Here is a 16,226-nt window from a genome sequence, read left to right as displayed (position 1 = left end):
CTTATTTGTTGCCTTCGTATATGAATTTTAAATTAATTTTTCTGTTCAGAAATTCCTGCTGGAGCTTTTATTTGAATTTTGTTAAATTTATAAATCAATTTGGGAAGCATTGATATTTTTATTATGTTGATCTTCCACTCTGTAAACATGGTATATCTCTACATTTTTTAGGTCTTCTTTTATTTCTTTTATCAGCATTTTATAGTTTTCAGCATACACATCATATACATGTTTTGTTAGATACATACCCAAGCACTGATGCTCCTCAACTTATGATGGGGTTATGTCCCAATAAACCTATCATAGGTCAAAAAAATCATAAGTTGAAAATGTATTTAATACCCCAAAAGACCCATCCAAAAGTTGAAAATTTGTAAATTGAACCATTGTAAGTCAGGGACCATCTGTACAACATTTTTTGTAGGTTTTGTAAGTAGTATTTTTAAATTTTTATTTTCCATCAGTTTATAGTACAGTTGACCCTTGAACACGTAGGGGTTAGGGATACCAATCCCTCCATGTAGTCAAAAATCCACATATAACTTTTGACTCTCCAAAAACTTGACTATTCATAGCCTACTGTTGACCAGAAGCCTTACTGATAACAAATAGTCAATTACCACCTATTCTGTATATTGTATGTATTATATGCTGTATTCTTACAATAAAGTAAGCTAGAGAAAAGAAAATGTTATCAAGAAAATCTTAAGGAAGAGAAAATATATTTACTATTCATTAAGTGAAAGCGGATCTTCACTGACTCTTTCCTTGGTCGTGTCTATTCTCCCATTGGGCCCATCCAGAGAGTTTTCAAAAATAAACTTTATATATAGAATTGTTTCAAATTTAGAGAAAAACTGTGAGGATAGTACAGACTTATTTCTCATGTATGCCATACATAATTTATTGTTACTGATCTTACATTAGCCTAGTACATTTATCACATTAAGGAGCCAATGTTGATACATCATTACTTTCTGAAGTTCATACATTGCCTTAGTTTTTACCTAGTGTCCTTTTTTTGTTCTGGGATCCCATCCAGAACACTACATTACATTTTGTCATCATGCCTCCTTACACTCTTCTTGGCTGTGACACTTCGGTAAACTTTCTTTATTTTTAATCATTTTGACCATTTTGAAGAGTGCTGGCCAGGTATTTTGTAGAATGCCCTTATATTGGGATTTGTCTGATGTTTTTCTTATCACTAAAGTGGAGCTAAGGGTTTTAGGGAGGACAGCCACAGAGGTCAAGTGCCATTTTCATCATATCCTATCAAGGGTACATGCTGTCAACACCATGTCACTGTTGGGGTTGACCTTTCAGTCACTGTACTCTTTGCCTCTTCCCATACTGAATTCTTCCGAAGGAAGTCACTGTGCACAGCTCACAGTTAAGGAGTGTGGAGTTATAGTTTTCTCCTTGAGGGCAGAGTATCTACATAGATGATTTAGAATCCAGTGAGCTTTTTATTTCAGTTAATGTATTTCTGTCACAAATTTCTATTTGGTTCTCTGAAATATCTTCCTTCTTTTTGGCCAAGACTGTCTGTCTCTCTGTTCATTTCCAGCATGTTCAATCTTACTTCTTGGAACTTTTGGATAATGGCTGTTTTCGTCTTTCTTTGTCGATAATGTCAGTATCTGTGTCATCTTGACATTGGCTTCTGTGGATTGTCTTTTTCCACAGAGTTAAGATTTTCCTGGTTCTTTGTATGCTAAGAAGTTTTGGATTGTATCATGGGCATTTCGAATATTATGTTATGACACTGGCCATTTTTAATTTCTATGGAGAATGTGGATTTTTTTTAAGCAGGTGATCAACCCTGTGGGGTTTGGGCTGTGAGCTCTGGGTGTTGGTTTCAAAGGCAGATGTGTTTATAAGACCTAGTCTTGCATTTTTGCCCTCCAGAGGTCACCTTGGAACTTGGGTGGCAGTCTGTTGCAGAGTTTGCCTCTCAAAGGCTTTGTTATGGGTGAGCCCAGGAATTCATTAACAACATTATGGGGTCAGTTAGCCAAGCTTCTCTTTACAATTTTTCCAGCGCCTCTGGTTCCCCAAGAATCCCCTTTTCAGTCTTCTGGCAGGAAAGCTGGAGTGTGTCACCTTCTTCTTCCCATATTTCCTGCCCTTCTCCTGCATCCAGCGCCAAGTGGGGGCAGAATAGAAGACAGAGCACCACAGGCTCTGTTGGAAAGGAGGGTCTAGCTCCCTTGGAGTCTGCGGCAGCAGACATTTCTGCCACTGCCATTCCTGCATAGCCACGGTAGCAGAATTGCCTGGGACTGAGTTCAAAATAATAGACGAAAAAGAATAAATAAAATTGGAGACTTCCTCATCTTCTCAGAGCACTGGGAACCCCCTTTTCACTCCTCAAGCCAGAGCTAGAAGGTATCTCCTGGAGCTCTCTCTGTCATTGCCTTGGAGCCCACGTCCAGGTTCCCTGGTGCCTTGGGCTAAGCCAGGGGCTACCAGAGTGACAGTGACATACCCACCACCCATTCAGTGTCCTTAGCACACTTGTCTCCTCTCCCGGTCCATCGGCTGCTACTCCCTCTCAGAGCTCTGCAGTAATGAGCCTATGCGTCCTGCCCAAGTGCCGCCTGAAGTCAGTGGGAGCAACGGGATGAAGGAGGAGTCTCCACTGCTGTGGGAGTCCAGGGAGCTCATGGAGTTCCTGTGATGGCATCCTGCATTCTCCTCAAGGCCTTCCCCAGTTACTGCCATATCCCACCCCATGCCCTGGAAGCAAAGCTCTCCCTCTCCTATCCATCTCCACACTTTCGCACATCCTGGTTGGTGATTTGCTGCAGCCATGAGTGTGTGTGCATCAGCTGTCTGTTCCCCCTACGGCAGTAACTGTGTCTTTTCAGTCTTCTTTTCTCTAGTCTGGCTTCATTTTCTGAATACAAAGGATCCTCAGTAAGCGTGTGTTGAACACAGCTGGATTTCCGTGGTGTGTTGCAGGGCACTGGTCACTGACCCAGCAGACTCACGGTCTGCGGAGGATCAGGAGCTGCCCAGGCTCCCCGGAGCGTGTTTGTTCCTGGAGACGGTGGTCCCTCCTGTGCCTCCAGCTCCTGCCCCTGATCCCTAGTGCTGCTACCACCGTAGGTTTTCCTCCTTTCTCTGGAATCCAGATCAAGTTTTGCCTATTAAAAGCCTCCGTAATTGTGCTTTTTTTTTTTTCTTTTCCTGGCAGAATTGGAGAACTTAGGGAGGATACTGAAAATTGCATTTCTTTAGGGGCTAATCATAACAAAGCCTTTTGCAGAGCTTTGTGTCCTGCAGTTAGTCCTTGGGGGGTTAGGTAAGGGCCTCTGAGAACTATCAAGAAGTACATGGAGGGCCTTCAGTCTAACTATCCAGCAATTTCACAATAATACAGTATGGCCTCCCAAAGTGAAGATGGTCCATTCCAACCTCTGCACTGTATCATGGGTGATCAAGTAAGATCTTAGAGAAACCTAGACCAGTTCAGTCTCTTTTTTTTGAGACAGAGTCTCGCTCTGTCGCCTAGGCTGGAGTGCAGTGGCATGATCTTGGCTCACTGCAAGCTCCGCCTCCCAGGTTCATGCCATTCTCCTGCCTCAGCCTCCCGAGTAGCTGGGACTACAGGCACCCACCACCACGCCTGGCTAATTTTTTTGTATTTTTAGTAGAGACGGGGTTTCACCGTGTTAGCCAGGATGGTCTTGATCTCCTGACCTCGTGATCCACCCGCCTCGGCCTCCCAAAGTGCTGGGATTACAGGAGTGAGCCACCCACGGTGCCTGGCCACCAATTCAGTCTCTTCTCTGGGGAAAGTCATCCTCTCCGGCTGAACTTCACAGTTTCTGGAGGGTGGCCTCTGGGCAGGCGGGTACTGCAGCCTGGAGCCCGGAAGGATGTCAGCTCCAGAGGTGTTGAGCCAGGGCGGGGATGTTTGTGGCATGACTCTGAGGGAACTGCGCTGTCCTCTCATGTCCCTTTCAGGAGGCGTGTGCAGCCCTGCTAGACCAGTGCCTATGCTACGTGCAGTCCAGAGGCCTCCAGAGAGCCCCTGAGAAGACCAAGGGCAAAGTGAGCATGAGGTTCTCCTCTCTCTGCCCACCCTCCACGTCCACTGCCTCTGGCCGCAGACCCAGCCTCGTGATCGATGGGAGAAGCCTGGCCTACGCTCTCGAGAAAAACCTGGAGGACAAATTCCTCTTCCTTGCCAAGCAGTGCCGCTCCGTCCTCTGCTGTCGGTCGACGCCTCTGCAGAAGAGCATGGTGGTGAAGCTGGTGCGGAGCAAGCTCAAGGCCATGACCCTGGCCATAGGCAAGTATCCCAGCTGGCCAGACGGCCTCCTCCCAGCTGGACCCAAACTTCCTCTACCCTTCCATGCTACACCACGAGATGGGAAAACACTTCCTCACCTTTCTTTCTGTGTGTAAAATCACACCCAGTGTGATAGAGCAGGCAACATGTTCCGAAGGTAAAGTTTACATTGGAAAGCCACAAAAGAGAGTAGCAGAGTTACAGGTTCATGCTGCAAGGTCAGTAATCCGGTGCTGCTTTACGGCAACAAGATGGAGCTTACCCTGTTTCTCAGGAGACAGCACACAAGAGACCTGCCTGTCCCAGTCTGTCCTGGCCACAGCAGAGGGCACTACACACTCAGCCTTAGCCCAGGCCAACTTAGAAGGTCCTTTGCAGCTGCTTCTGGTCACCATGAGCCTCCGGGTGTCCAAGGCTTTGTAACGCCCTAAGGGCCCAGAGGCTTGGTGACCAGAATTCCCACTGCCTCCTGTCAGCTGTGCTGATGGTTCTGGGACAGGCTTCTGAGTAAATAAGTCCATCATCAGATACGCATCACTGCTCAGTTTTACACCAGTTATTTAAGGACTGTGTTTCTCATGGTGGTTTTTCCTGGCAGACACTGTTGGCCTGGAGAGCCCTGTCTGCTCCTCTCCAGGGAGGGGATGGTGGCCACTCGCCTCCTTCCAGGACATCCTCTCTGCCCACTTCTAGTGCAGGCAGAGTCTCTAGCACAGGTTCAGGGGCTCAGCAGCACCACCTCCTGGTGAGGGCCAGGAAGGAAGCAGTGGCCGTGACCCCCACATGCCAACAATTGGGCCTCCCTGTAAATAGAATCTACTCCTAGGTGAGAACTGGATCAGAAATCAAGTACCCTCGCCAATCAATCAGCCAGTGTTGGCAGTATTTTCTGCAAAAGGTCTGTGACAGCCCCTGCTTGTTGACATGGAGATTGCTGCCTGTTCACAGTGGGCACCTCACCTGGCCAGAGGAGACCGCTGTTGAGCCTGGGTTACAGTGGCAGTGAGGAGAGCGAGCACTGGCCTGAACACGGTCGTCATGGGGACCCTGCCCTACACACCCTGAGGCCAGTAACCGCTAAGGAGAGTGGGCACAGGGCACGTGTTCAGGAGGCCCGGGGAACCTAACAGCCATGGCCTGTCCTGAGGCCATCTTTGCCTTCATGTGCCTGGGGTGGCCCTCAGGTTTCCCTGAGGAGCTGGAAACGGTCTTCAGGCTGACCTGCACCACCCCTGTCCCAGCCTCCTCCTCTGAGCGTCAGCGTCCTTCCCTGGGAGCACGAGGACAACGTCAGCCCTGAAAGGCCACAGTACACAGTAAGACGTGAATGATGTTTCCCTGGCCTGGCCAGTGCCTGCCTCAGCCGCGTAGCCACTGGTGTCTGGTATTCCTGAAGAAGTGGAAGGAAATCCTTGGCAGATTAAAAAGAAAAGGAAACACAGAATGGAATCTCAAAAGAAAACGGGAAAGTAATGACCCATAAGAACATCAGCACATGGCTGGGCACGTGGTTCACACCAGTCATCTCAACAGTTTGGGAGGCCAAGGCAGGAAGATCACTTGAGCCCGGGAGTTTGAGACCAGCCTGGGCAACATAGTGAGTCCCCATCTCTACAAAAAATAAAAAAAATTAGCTGTGTGTGGTGGCACACACCTGCAGTCTCAGCTACTTGAGAGGCTGAGGTGGGAGGCTCACCTGAGCCCAGGAGGTCAAGGCTGCAGTGAACCGTGATCACACCACTACACTCCAGCCTAGGCAATAGAGTGAGAGACCCTGTCTCAAAAAAAGAAAAAAAAAACTGCTGGGGCAACATGGTGGGCGAAACCCCATCTGTACTAAAAATGCAAAACCTGGCTGGGTGTGGTGGCATGTACCTGTAGTCCTACCTACTCAGGAGGCTGAAGTGGGAGGATCACTTGAGCCCAGGAGGTTGAGGCTGCAGTGAGCCATGATCATGCCACTGCACTCCCACCTAGCCTGGGTGACAGAGTGAGACCCTGTCTCAAAAGAAAAAGAAAGAAAGAAAGAATGCGTTAAAGCATCAATGTGACCTACTCCTAGTGCCCAGTGGTTTATAATGTAGAGAGCATCGTTGCATACCATATCTCATGTTTTACCGTATCTCATTTTAAATGGGACATTCTGGGGAAAGCTGTACAGATTTTTATTGCTTCAGAGAATTCCAATTTGATATATATTAACTGATCAGTTAATATTGGTCTCAACATTATAAAGAACAGGAAAATCACAGGGAAGAGACATCCTGTAGTCACACTACAAGTCATTCTAACTTTGTGTATCTGCACCTTTTCTCATTTGTGCAACTTGGGATGTATGCCCTGATTTGGGCTCTTCTGCTGCCCAGTTCCAAGAATGGTGACCGTCACGGAGTGATAACAACTTTATGACTCTGCTGTCCTTTCCCCGAAGGTGTCCAGATATCTGACCATGCTCTGTGTTCCTAAACATTTTCTATCAACAAATTGACAGAATGAAGAGAAGTTCTCCTTTATTGCACCCCTAGAGGGCCCCAAAGTGAGCACAATGGCTAATACTGTGGCAATCCATATGCAAAAAAAAGAGCTCCACAACGTGCTGGGCTGAATTTAACCTCCTTCCCTTAGTTTAGAAACTGCCCGGGAAGTGTGGCTGGGAGTAGCCTTGGCTGCTTGGCTGGAGTGGCTCAGTAACTAATGATGATGAAGATGATGATAGCATCTTTCCTTGTGCCAGACAGCAGGATGAGGGTTTTACTGGTGTAAGAGCGGCACTGCAGAGCAGGCGCCATGTACCAGGTGGCTCAGCTCCAGCCCGCTTTCCGAAACATCTCCTGGTGTCGCTAGCTTATTCTGAATGCTTAACTCTATTCTCCCAGGGTGGATGCTCTACTCCTTTTTCCCCCATCTTCCCCAGGACGCTTTCACAGGACTGAGTTCAGCGGGGACTCCCAAGAAAATCTAGCACATTGATTTGATTCTGTGCTGTTTCTAGAATCAAACAATTCTTCTTGCCTGTGCTGTTTCTAGGTGATGGAGCCAATGATGTCAGCATGATCCAGGTGGCAGATGTGGGTGTGGGAATCTCCGGCCAGGAGGGTATGCAGGTAAAGACCAATCAGGCTATTCTGTGTGACCAATTGGCCCTACTGACCTCTTGTCCTGTCACCCTGTGGGCTGTCCCCGACTTCCTCTGGGCTCTACTGAACGAGGCTAAAGGGTTTGCCCTTAATATAGCTGATGCTCAATACAGCTGCTAAGCCACTAGTGGAAGGTAAGGAGGAATGCCATTCTTCCTGTTTATGAAGCAGTGTGCAATAAGCATGTCTTCCCATGTCACAAGTCTATTTTTGTGAAATAAGTGGTTCAGAGAGAGGCAAGGTGAGTCATCGCCTTCTGTCTGGCTTTCGATGGCTCGGTCCCAGCAGGCACTTTTTACTGTCCGTGAACACGGAGCAATACCATTTGAAAAAATGCCTTTGATGTAGGTGGAGCCTGGCGTCACTGTACAGGTGGAATGTAGCCATCCTCACTCACATGGAAGTTCACCTCTGCATCTTTCCTCTGCCACTGTGTTCACTCTCGGTCTGGGAGTCAGACATTGAACAAATGACTTAACTAAAAATGTGCTGCTTTTGGATTTAGTATTACAACAGTTTCCAACATTTGATTAAGTATGAATCACAACATTTTTGGGTTGGTGGAGATTTTAGGGAACAATTTATCCGAAGTTCTAAAAACCAGGATGTTGATACCACTTACTCGCTGGTTGATTCATTTGCTGACTCAGTGGTTCGATCAGTAATGATCTGTTGGGCATGTGCTACATGTCAGGCCTGTGCAGAGCTCATTAATAGTTTTAGCTGATGTTCCACCCTCAGATGGAGGGTCCCAAGCTAGATGCACAGTAGTTCCGTCACGGCTGGTCCTTGACACTTGCCTTACTCCCCCCGCCGTCATCTGACTGGAATCTCCGTGTTACGTTACTCGCACATTTTTTCTTCCTCCAGAAAATTGAAAATGGTGTTCATGTTTGACTCACCTTTGTGTCTTCACAGTGCCCAGTGTGGCACCTTGCACAAGGGGAAGCTCAAGAAACATTTGCTAAGTAAATGTACAAAATACAGTGGACCCTTGAACAACACGGGTCTGAACTGTTTGAGTCCACTTATATGGGGACATTTTTCAATAAATATTTGGAAAATTTTTTGGAGATTTGTGACAATTTGAAAAAACTTGCAGATGAACCACATAGCCTAGAAATATCGAAAAAATTAAAGCGGGCCAGGCATGGTGGTTCACACCTGTAATTTCAGTACTTTGGAAGGACAAGACAGGAGGATCACCAGAGGCCAGGAGTTTGAGACCAGCGGGGCAATGTGGTGAAACCCCATCTCTACTAAAAATGCAAAAACCCCAGCGTGGTGGCCCATGCCTGTAGTCCCAGCTACTTAGGGGGCTGAGGCAGGAAGATCACTTGAGCCTGGGAGGTTGAGCCTGAAGTGAACTATGATTGCACCACTGCACTCAAGCTTGGGCAATACAATGAGACCCAGTCTCTCTTTTTTTTTTTTTTTTTTTAAAAAAAAGGAAAAAAAATTAAGGAAAACGTAGGTGTGTCATGAATATGTGAAATACATGTAGATTCCATTGTGCGTGTTTATCAACTGTTTGTGTGATCAGTAAGGCTTCCCATCAACCGTAGGCTATTAGTAGTTAAGTTTTGAGGGAGTCAGAAATTGTATGTGGATTTTCGACTGTTCGGGGGAACCCCTAACTCCAGTGTTGTTCAAGGGTCAACTATAGTTCATTCATTCTGACTTTGTTGGCATTGCTTCTGTTTTCACTGTTTCCTCTACTGAAAATCTGATGGGGGCAGTGCCTATTGACCTCATATGCTTGGAAACTCGTCTAGTAAACATCTTTTGGATCAAACACTTGAATGTTGAGCATGTGGCTGGGGAGGGGCCGGAGCTGCCATGCCTGCTCTCCTCCTCAAGGTGGGAGCACCAGCCCAAGCCCTGGGGCTCTACATGCAAGGTGATGGGAACAGCTGAGCCATAGGGCAGGTGCCCAGAGATGCAGCTTTGAACAGGCGTAGCTGCTGGGGAGGAGGTTGCTGGGCACTTCTGCACATATGTAAAGCTGTGCATCCTCCCTGGGGATGTGTTAGGTGAGATGGGGACGAGGCTTGATACCTTTCCTTACCATCCTATGCACTTGGGTTTTCCAGCACTGGGACCCTGTTGCTTGCATTTTAGTCAGTCCCTGCTGAGCCCTTTGAGAGATGAGCTGTGGGTTGCTGAGGGAGAGGGATGCCAGAGATGTCAGAGCTGAGCCGTGGAGGATCAGGCAGGAGGAGCAGGCACTCCCCAGCTCAGCCAAGGTGGGGAGACTGCCCCAGGCAGGGGGCAAGAGGAACAAAGGAGATCCCACAGCTCCTGGGAAGTTCTGTCTTCGTGAGCTCTGGCTCATCTGGTTCACCCTATTTGTCCTGCACCCTCTAGAGCCAAGGCTGACTGGGAGCCAGGGATACAAGGTGACCCCAACATCTCTGATCCTGCTCTCCTAGAATTCCCAGAAAAGCTGGGAGGCTTTGGAAAGGCCACTTTGACGGAAGGACAAGCATTGTATTTGAGGCCTGGATTTAGGGGAGGAAGGAGCTGCAGAAGGCTGGCAAGCCAGGCGTCCTCAGAGGGGTTTGACTGTGGTTCTCAAGGGCGGGGGTTTCTTCTTCAAAGGCAGCCTAGAGTTTGGCCTTGTAGGCCATCAGCCTCTTTTTAACACTGGTCCCTTTTGACTGAGCTTTTCAGACTGATTCTGTGGAGGACGGGGACTGTGTCTAATGGTATCTGTTTCTCCAAGTCTGTGGCTGGCAATAGTGGAGTCTTAATAAATGATTTTTGAGAGAATGAATCATGGGGTTAATGGGTAAAGCATTACAGAACACGAAAAACCTTTTAAGCCCCTATGTGTTGACAGCAAGAGGTAGAGGGACATTTGCTTTGAAATCCTTAACTTTTGGTTCAGAAAATTGATGTTCTAAGGTTTTGTGTATCATGACACTATTCCATTTCAAGCGTACCACTTGAGGCATAACTTACTGCTTTCTACATATTATTTGAATATAGGGAAACCAGTTAGATGTTAAAGGCAGGTTGGCATTCTGTTTAGAATAACCTTCTGTTGATAAGCAGAAATCTAGCTTTTCCTGCCACTTTGTTTGATTTTTTTTTCCAAAGACATTTATTGTACAGTGGGTTTCAAATTATTCTGGGGACAAAAGGTATCATTTTGATGGTGTTTTCCAGCCTAGTTGGCTTCACTGCGTAAGCACCTTGCTTGATGATATGCAGGGGAAGCTTCCATGGCAGGCTCCTGCCTGTCCATGGAGGAAACGTCTTCTCCACTCCCTCCTGCACACGGCCACTGCCCGCACCCGGCGTCCTGGGTTGGGAGTATGTGGGAGGCCAGTGGAGCTGTGGGCCTGGCTTTGCCCATCACCAAGGCTTCTGGGGGGAACAGCCCAAAATGCACCTCCCAGGACAGGGGAATGTCTGTCTCTGATACATACGGCAGGAGCAGCTTTGGGTCATCCTTGGGTTGTGACCATGGACCGATTTAGAGGAAAATGACATCCGGGGCAAAGAAAGGCAGATAAACACCATGTATCTCTGTGTGTTTTCATTTGTTGAGAAAACAGCAGGAAAAAAGAAAACCTTTTAAACCCCATTAGTGACACATATTTGAAAGCGTAAATGAATCTTATAAGGTGACATCCCTGAACTAGCGTGTTGGGTGAGATTGCCTCTTTTGTAACGGAAGGAGATGCTGAGGGAGACGACAGCGATGGAGACCCTGGCCGGCCACGCTCGCACTGTGTTCAGAATGGGGATTTTCCTTCCCTGTTGTGTACCTTGCATTTTGAGAAGAGAAGACAAATCTGACGCCAGGTCGGCATCACCAGTAACAGGAATCCCTCTCCCTTTGAAGGCAGTGATGGCCAGCGACTTTGCAGTGCCGAAATTCCGATACCTGGAGAGGCTCTTGATTCTTCACGGGCATTGGTGCTACTCCCGACTTGCCAACATGGTGCTGTACTTCTTCTACAAAAACACAGTAGGTATTGGATACCTGTCTAGAGTTTTGGGATTGGAAGGTTCGGTTCTTAGGACCATCGCCTGAATGAGGCGAAGGAGGATGGAGCAGATGGGAGGCCATGGACAACCTGCTCCATCCTCCTTCGCCTGTGTAATTGTCCCCTGTCCTGGGCTGGCTCTGCACTCTGTAGGCTCAGAGTCTAATTCAGGGGCATGAGAGCAGCTGCATCTCTAGGGAGAGGTGGTGGAAACAGGTGGATAACACTAGCAAGTCCACTGATGGCTGCAGAGTGAGAAGGGGCATAATTATGAGGCTAGCAGTTTGCACAGGGGCACACAGCTGGTAAACCTTCAAGGCTGCGTTCACCCCAGGCCACCCAGTCCTGCTCCCAGGCTCCTAACCACTCTGTCCATAGGTTTCTCAGGAGCATGCTGCTGAAATATCCCCAAACAGGAGTCCTCTAATCAGCATTTTCTCTAGAGTAGACGGAAAATCCAATGATAAGCACAAGTGTGCTTTGTGGTCTGGGATCAGAATAAGGGAACTTAGCCTCACTCTGATTCCCATACTGAATGGCCTCTGTTGGGACACACCCACACCAGGACAGGTGACAGGCGGCAAGCCCCTAGGTCAGGGAGGCTCAGACCCAGCAGGAAGGGGGTGCCCTTCGGGCCTTCCCACCCTCTCCCACCTCCCAGGCTTGCAGAGCAGACACACCCCTCTCGGATGAGCTCATTCTGTAGCTAAAGTGACCCTGCTGTAAAGCCACACCCAGGGCAGATTGGCTGCAGACATTTCTGTCTCTCTGAGGGTTCTGCATGGTCATTTCATGTGGATCTTCACGTTGGACTCTTCGTTCCTTCTTCACTGCTTCTTTGGCAGATGGGCTCCTCCATAGCCCTGCAGGATGGACCACATGGCCGTCTCAGAGTTCTGCCCCATTTGTAAGAGATTTCTAGATATTTTACTGAGGAGTTGCTAGGCTGCTGCTGCTTTTGGCTGAATGTACAAACAAAGAGACAAAATAAACTCTTAGGGTAAGTGATCTTCCAAGGTAGTCCCATAAATCTACCTGGCTAAACACCAGAACTCCAGTGTCAAGATTATCCTATACTCTTCTGAAAATAAAATAAAATAAAAGGTGTATTCTTTTTCCAGTTCTGTATAAAAACTCTCCAGTTAGCTAGCTCTAAACTGTCAGTGGTTGTTCATGTTCATTTTATTTTTATTTTTTGAGACAGGGTGTCACTATTGTCTCCCAGGCTGGAGTGCAGTGGCACCATCATAGCTTACTGCAGCCTCAACTTCCTGGGCTCAAGTGATCTTCCAGCCTCAGCCTCCCAAGCAGCTGGGACTACAGGTGCGTGTCACCACGCACATCTAATTTTTTTTTTTTTTTAATTTTGTAGAGGCAGGGTCTCACTTTGTTGCTCAGGCTGGTTCTCCATGTTCTTAATTGTTTTTCTGGAGGCTACACCTGCCTTTCTTTTCCCAACCTCTCTTTCCCCTTCACACTCACCCCCTTCATTTTTCGGAGCGTCTTCTAGCAAATGCATACAGCTGCTCAGATCCAGTCAGGGCATGTTTAACTTGATAGGTTTGGTCCCAGACATTAATTCAGATTAGGCTGTGCCTGGGACTATCTGAGGAAGGCTGTGTCACACCACTCCTGGGCTTGCCGGCTCATACCTCCTTTCTCCCAGCCCTGGCATTAAATCCCCAGAACTTTGAGGCCTCAAGTGCACAGTTGTAAGCCTAAAGGTTCTCAGCTCCCGAAGGAGTGGAGGGATGAATGGGGGTGGGCAGGGAAGAATCCAAGCCCCCTTTCTATCACTTGTTAGCTGTGGGTTCTTGAGCAAGTTAATTCCTGCTTTGGATTTTTTTTTTTTTTTTTTTAAAGACAGGGTCTGATTCTGTTGCCCAGGTTGGAGTGCAGTGGCGCCACTCTAGCTTACTGTATCCTCAAACTCCTAGGCTCAAGCAATCCCCCTACCTCAGCCTCCTGAGTAGCTGGGACTACAGGCCACCATGCCCAGCTAATTTTTTCTATTTTGTAGAGACAGGGTGTCGCTATGTTGCCCAGGCTGGTGTCAAACTCCTGGCCTCAAGCTATCGTCCCATCTCTGCCTCCCAAAGTGTGGTATTATAGGCATGAACCACCATGTCCAGTCTTCTTTTAAATCTTAAAAAAACAAAGCAAAGCCTGTGAGTTGAGCCAGCTGATCCCTAATTCCCAGTTAAAATGTCTCAGATCGAAGGGAGGGCAAGAATGATGTAGGCCAAATCATTAAACACTTCAGATGCAAACAAAGGCCCTAGTGGTCACCTGGAACGGGCACAGCCTCCTGCCTGCTGCGATGAGTCCCTCCCCATTGAAGGGTGCAGAAAGGAGAAGAGGACGCCTGTTTTTATTCCATAAAAATGCCAGGCCTTTGTTAACAAGCATTAATCTACATGAGGAGTTCAAGGATAATCACTCTGCCTCCTGAAATGAGAAATTCATTAGTTTTAGGAATAAGGTGGCCTTTCTTTCCAATAAAAAGCAGAGAAGAAAGGTTTCCATAACAACAGTGGTTTGGGAAGAAAGCTTTTTGGTACTATAGGAAAAAAAATCTCAATTATCTGAGTACTTATCTTCTCTTTCTCTTGACTGTATTTGCTACCGATGACTCACTAGGCCAAGCCTGCGGGGGTGAGTGAGCGAGAGCCAGCCGTAGGAGTGAGGAAGGGAAGAAAGTCAATGAATAAAAACCAAATGTTCGTTTTCAGCATGTAGGGAAAGGCTGCATATTAAGACATTTAAATCATAGTCTGACACAGGACTTGGAGGCTGTGTGGCATGGTGGGTTATTTCAACATAAGCTATTATTTCTTATGATCTTCACAAGTCACTTTCAGGTCAAGAAGCCAAAAGCTCAGGGAGGTGAAGTGACTGAGTCAGGGTCAAAAGGGTAGATAGTTGCAGCTCCAGAACCAAGCCCAGGCCTTGCGGTGCCCAGCAGAAAATGTCTGTCTAGCGTCAGAGTTCCCTGCTGGGACTGTGCCTGCCCTCCAAGCCAAGACCCATCGCAGTTGAACAAGTTGGGTTCCTTACTCACACCGTGACCTCAGCCAAGTCATTTGATGTCTTGGAACTTCAAGTTCCCTCTCTGTATGTGGGATAAGAGCACTCGCCCTGCCTGAGTCCCAAACAAGGGAACTAACGATACCACTCACCACCATACACCGTAGGCGATCACCTATAGCTCTCCAGGGACTCTGGTGAGTCCTCTAAATGTACTGGGTCGCTTCACGCTCACAGCAGCTGCATTGGCTGAGTATCATTGGTATGCCCATGTCATGAGCAAGGAAAGCGAGACTGAGGAGTTCATGCTCTGTGCCCAGCTACATAGCTCATGAGTGTTAGAATGCTTTGCAATCACTAAACTGTCATGTCCACCGTATAAATGCACTCAGGCTGCTGATATTCAGGAATCTAGCAATAGTGAGAAGAGATCTGACCTTGCTCCCACCCCAGTGAGCAGGGGCCAGAGGTGGCTGTTCCACCTCCCTGAATCTCACTTTCCTGTTCTGCTGAGCTGGGTAGCTGTAGCTATGAGGATCAGAGATGATGCCTCTCCCTCTCCCCCCAGCAGAGGTCCCCGTGGACAATCAGGTCACTGCAGCGATGTTGATGAGGTCATTGGCTTTGCTATTGTGCTTTTGTGTGTCCTCCCCTCAGTGGGAGTCAGTCACTGTCCACTGCACCTCCTCAGAGAGTATGCAGGTCACTAAAGAAGAGACAGGAGCAGAGATATAGCCACAGGTAGGCTTTGTCTGGGGTCACAGACAGAGGAGGGCCACTAGGGAAGATGCCACAGCTCATACTCAACTGGCCCTCTTGAAATGTGAGCAGCCCTACACCCCTGTGAAACCTTGATTTTGTTTTATGTTAATGATCCAGAGCTTGTCAAGCACAAAAATCTCATCCCCGCAAGTGCTGCTCCTGGGAATTCCCAATTCCCACTGCCAGTTCTTCTTTCTTAAGGGAGTGAGGAGGGCGAAGGGAAAGAGGAAGAGGGAGAGGCAGAGGCCAGCAGCAGGGCTCAAGGTCATGGCTGTCTTTGGCAGAAATCGCTGCCAATACATTTAATCTTGACTGTGAAACTCTGCAGGCCTGTCAGCTCCCTCGGATGAGAATCCTCAGCAATGGCTGAAGACTCGCCTGTTCCTGTTCTTCCTTTCTTGATTTCAGATGTTCGTGGGCCTCCTGTTTTGGTTCCAGTTTTTCTGTGGCTTCTCTGCATCTACCATGATTGACCAGTGGTATCTAATCTTCTTTAATCTGCTCTTCTCGTCACTTCCCCCGCTCGTGACTGGGGTGCTGGACAGGGATGTGCCAGCCAATGTGCTGCTGACCAACCCGCAGCTCTACAAGAGTGGCCAGAACATGGAGGTAAAGCTCCCCCGAGTCTCCGCCTTCCACCTCCTGAGCTCTGCCCTCCACGTTCACTCTTCCAAAGTGCCAGTCCCCCAGCCTCCCTTCAGATGGACACCCTGGACAAACTGAAATTCTAGAATTCACCATTCTAGAGGATGGAGAAAAAGGGCTGCCCTCTGCTTGGCTGCAGTGCATCAAGTGTTGTAAGCGAAACTGTCCCCCCTCCAAGAGTCTCCAGGAGCCCAAGAAAAGCCCAGAGTCCAGTCAGTCACAGGGGATCACTGAAGCTAGAGGGGGGATTTTTCTAAAGCAAGGAAGAAAATGTGACTTATTTTGAACGGGAATTAACAAGAAGACAAACCCACAAGGAAGCCACTGAGCCACTGAAAGAGCAAATAGATTTAA

General features: G+C 47.9%; 1 protein-coding gene across 9 annotated transcripts in view, besides 2 other annotated features; it reads left to right on the top strand.

Annotated features, from left to right (window-relative positions):
• Positions 1-16,226, top strand: part of ATP10A (ATPase phospholipid transporting 10A (putative)) — a 192,852-nt gene that overhangs the window by 165,967 nt on the left and 10,659 nt on the right. For all 9 annotated transcript variants that reach the window (XM_011521828.3, XM_005268261.5, XM_011521826.3 and 6 more), the window contains 4 exons: positions 3,976-4,303; positions 7,331-7,407; positions 11,294-11,419; positions 15,636-15,836. In XM_011521828.3, coding sequence (XP_011520130.1) covers positions 3,976-4,303; positions 7,331-7,407; positions 11,294-11,419; positions 15,636-15,836 — 732 coding nt within the window. The remainder of the gene's footprint in view (positions 1-3,975; positions 4,304-7,330; positions 7,408-11,293; positions 11,420-15,635; positions 15,837-16,226) is intronic.
• Positions 1,909-2,455: an enhancer, noted in NCBI's record as "H3K27ac-H3K4me1 hESC enhancer chr15:25941814-25942360 (GRCh37/hg19 assembly coordinates)". NCBI's record gives its function as "activates a minimal SCP1, AML or CMV promoter by ChIP-STARR-seq in primed H9 embryonic stem cells {active_cell/tissue: H9 hESC(primed)}" and the evidence as "EXISTENCE:reporter gene assay evidence [ECO:0000049][PMID:30033119]".
• Positions 3,442-3,942: an enhancer, noted in NCBI's record as "H3K4me1 hESC enhancer chr15:25940327-25940827 (GRCh37/hg19 assembly coordinates)". NCBI's record gives its function as "activates a minimal SCP1, AML or CMV promoter by ChIP-STARR-seq in naive H9 embryonic stem cells {active_cell/tissue: H9 hESC(naive)}" and the evidence as "EXISTENCE:reporter gene assay evidence [ECO:0000049][PMID:30033119]".

The sequence above is a fragment of the Homo sapiens genome, chromosome 15, assembly GCF_000001405.40.
Source record: "Homo sapiens chromosome 15, GRCh38.p14 Primary Assembly".
In the NCBI taxonomy this organism is placed as follows: Eukaryota; Metazoa; Chordata; class Mammalia; order Primates; family Hominidae; genus Homo; species Homo sapiens.
This window is presented reverse-complemented; position numbering and strand designations above follow the sequence as displayed.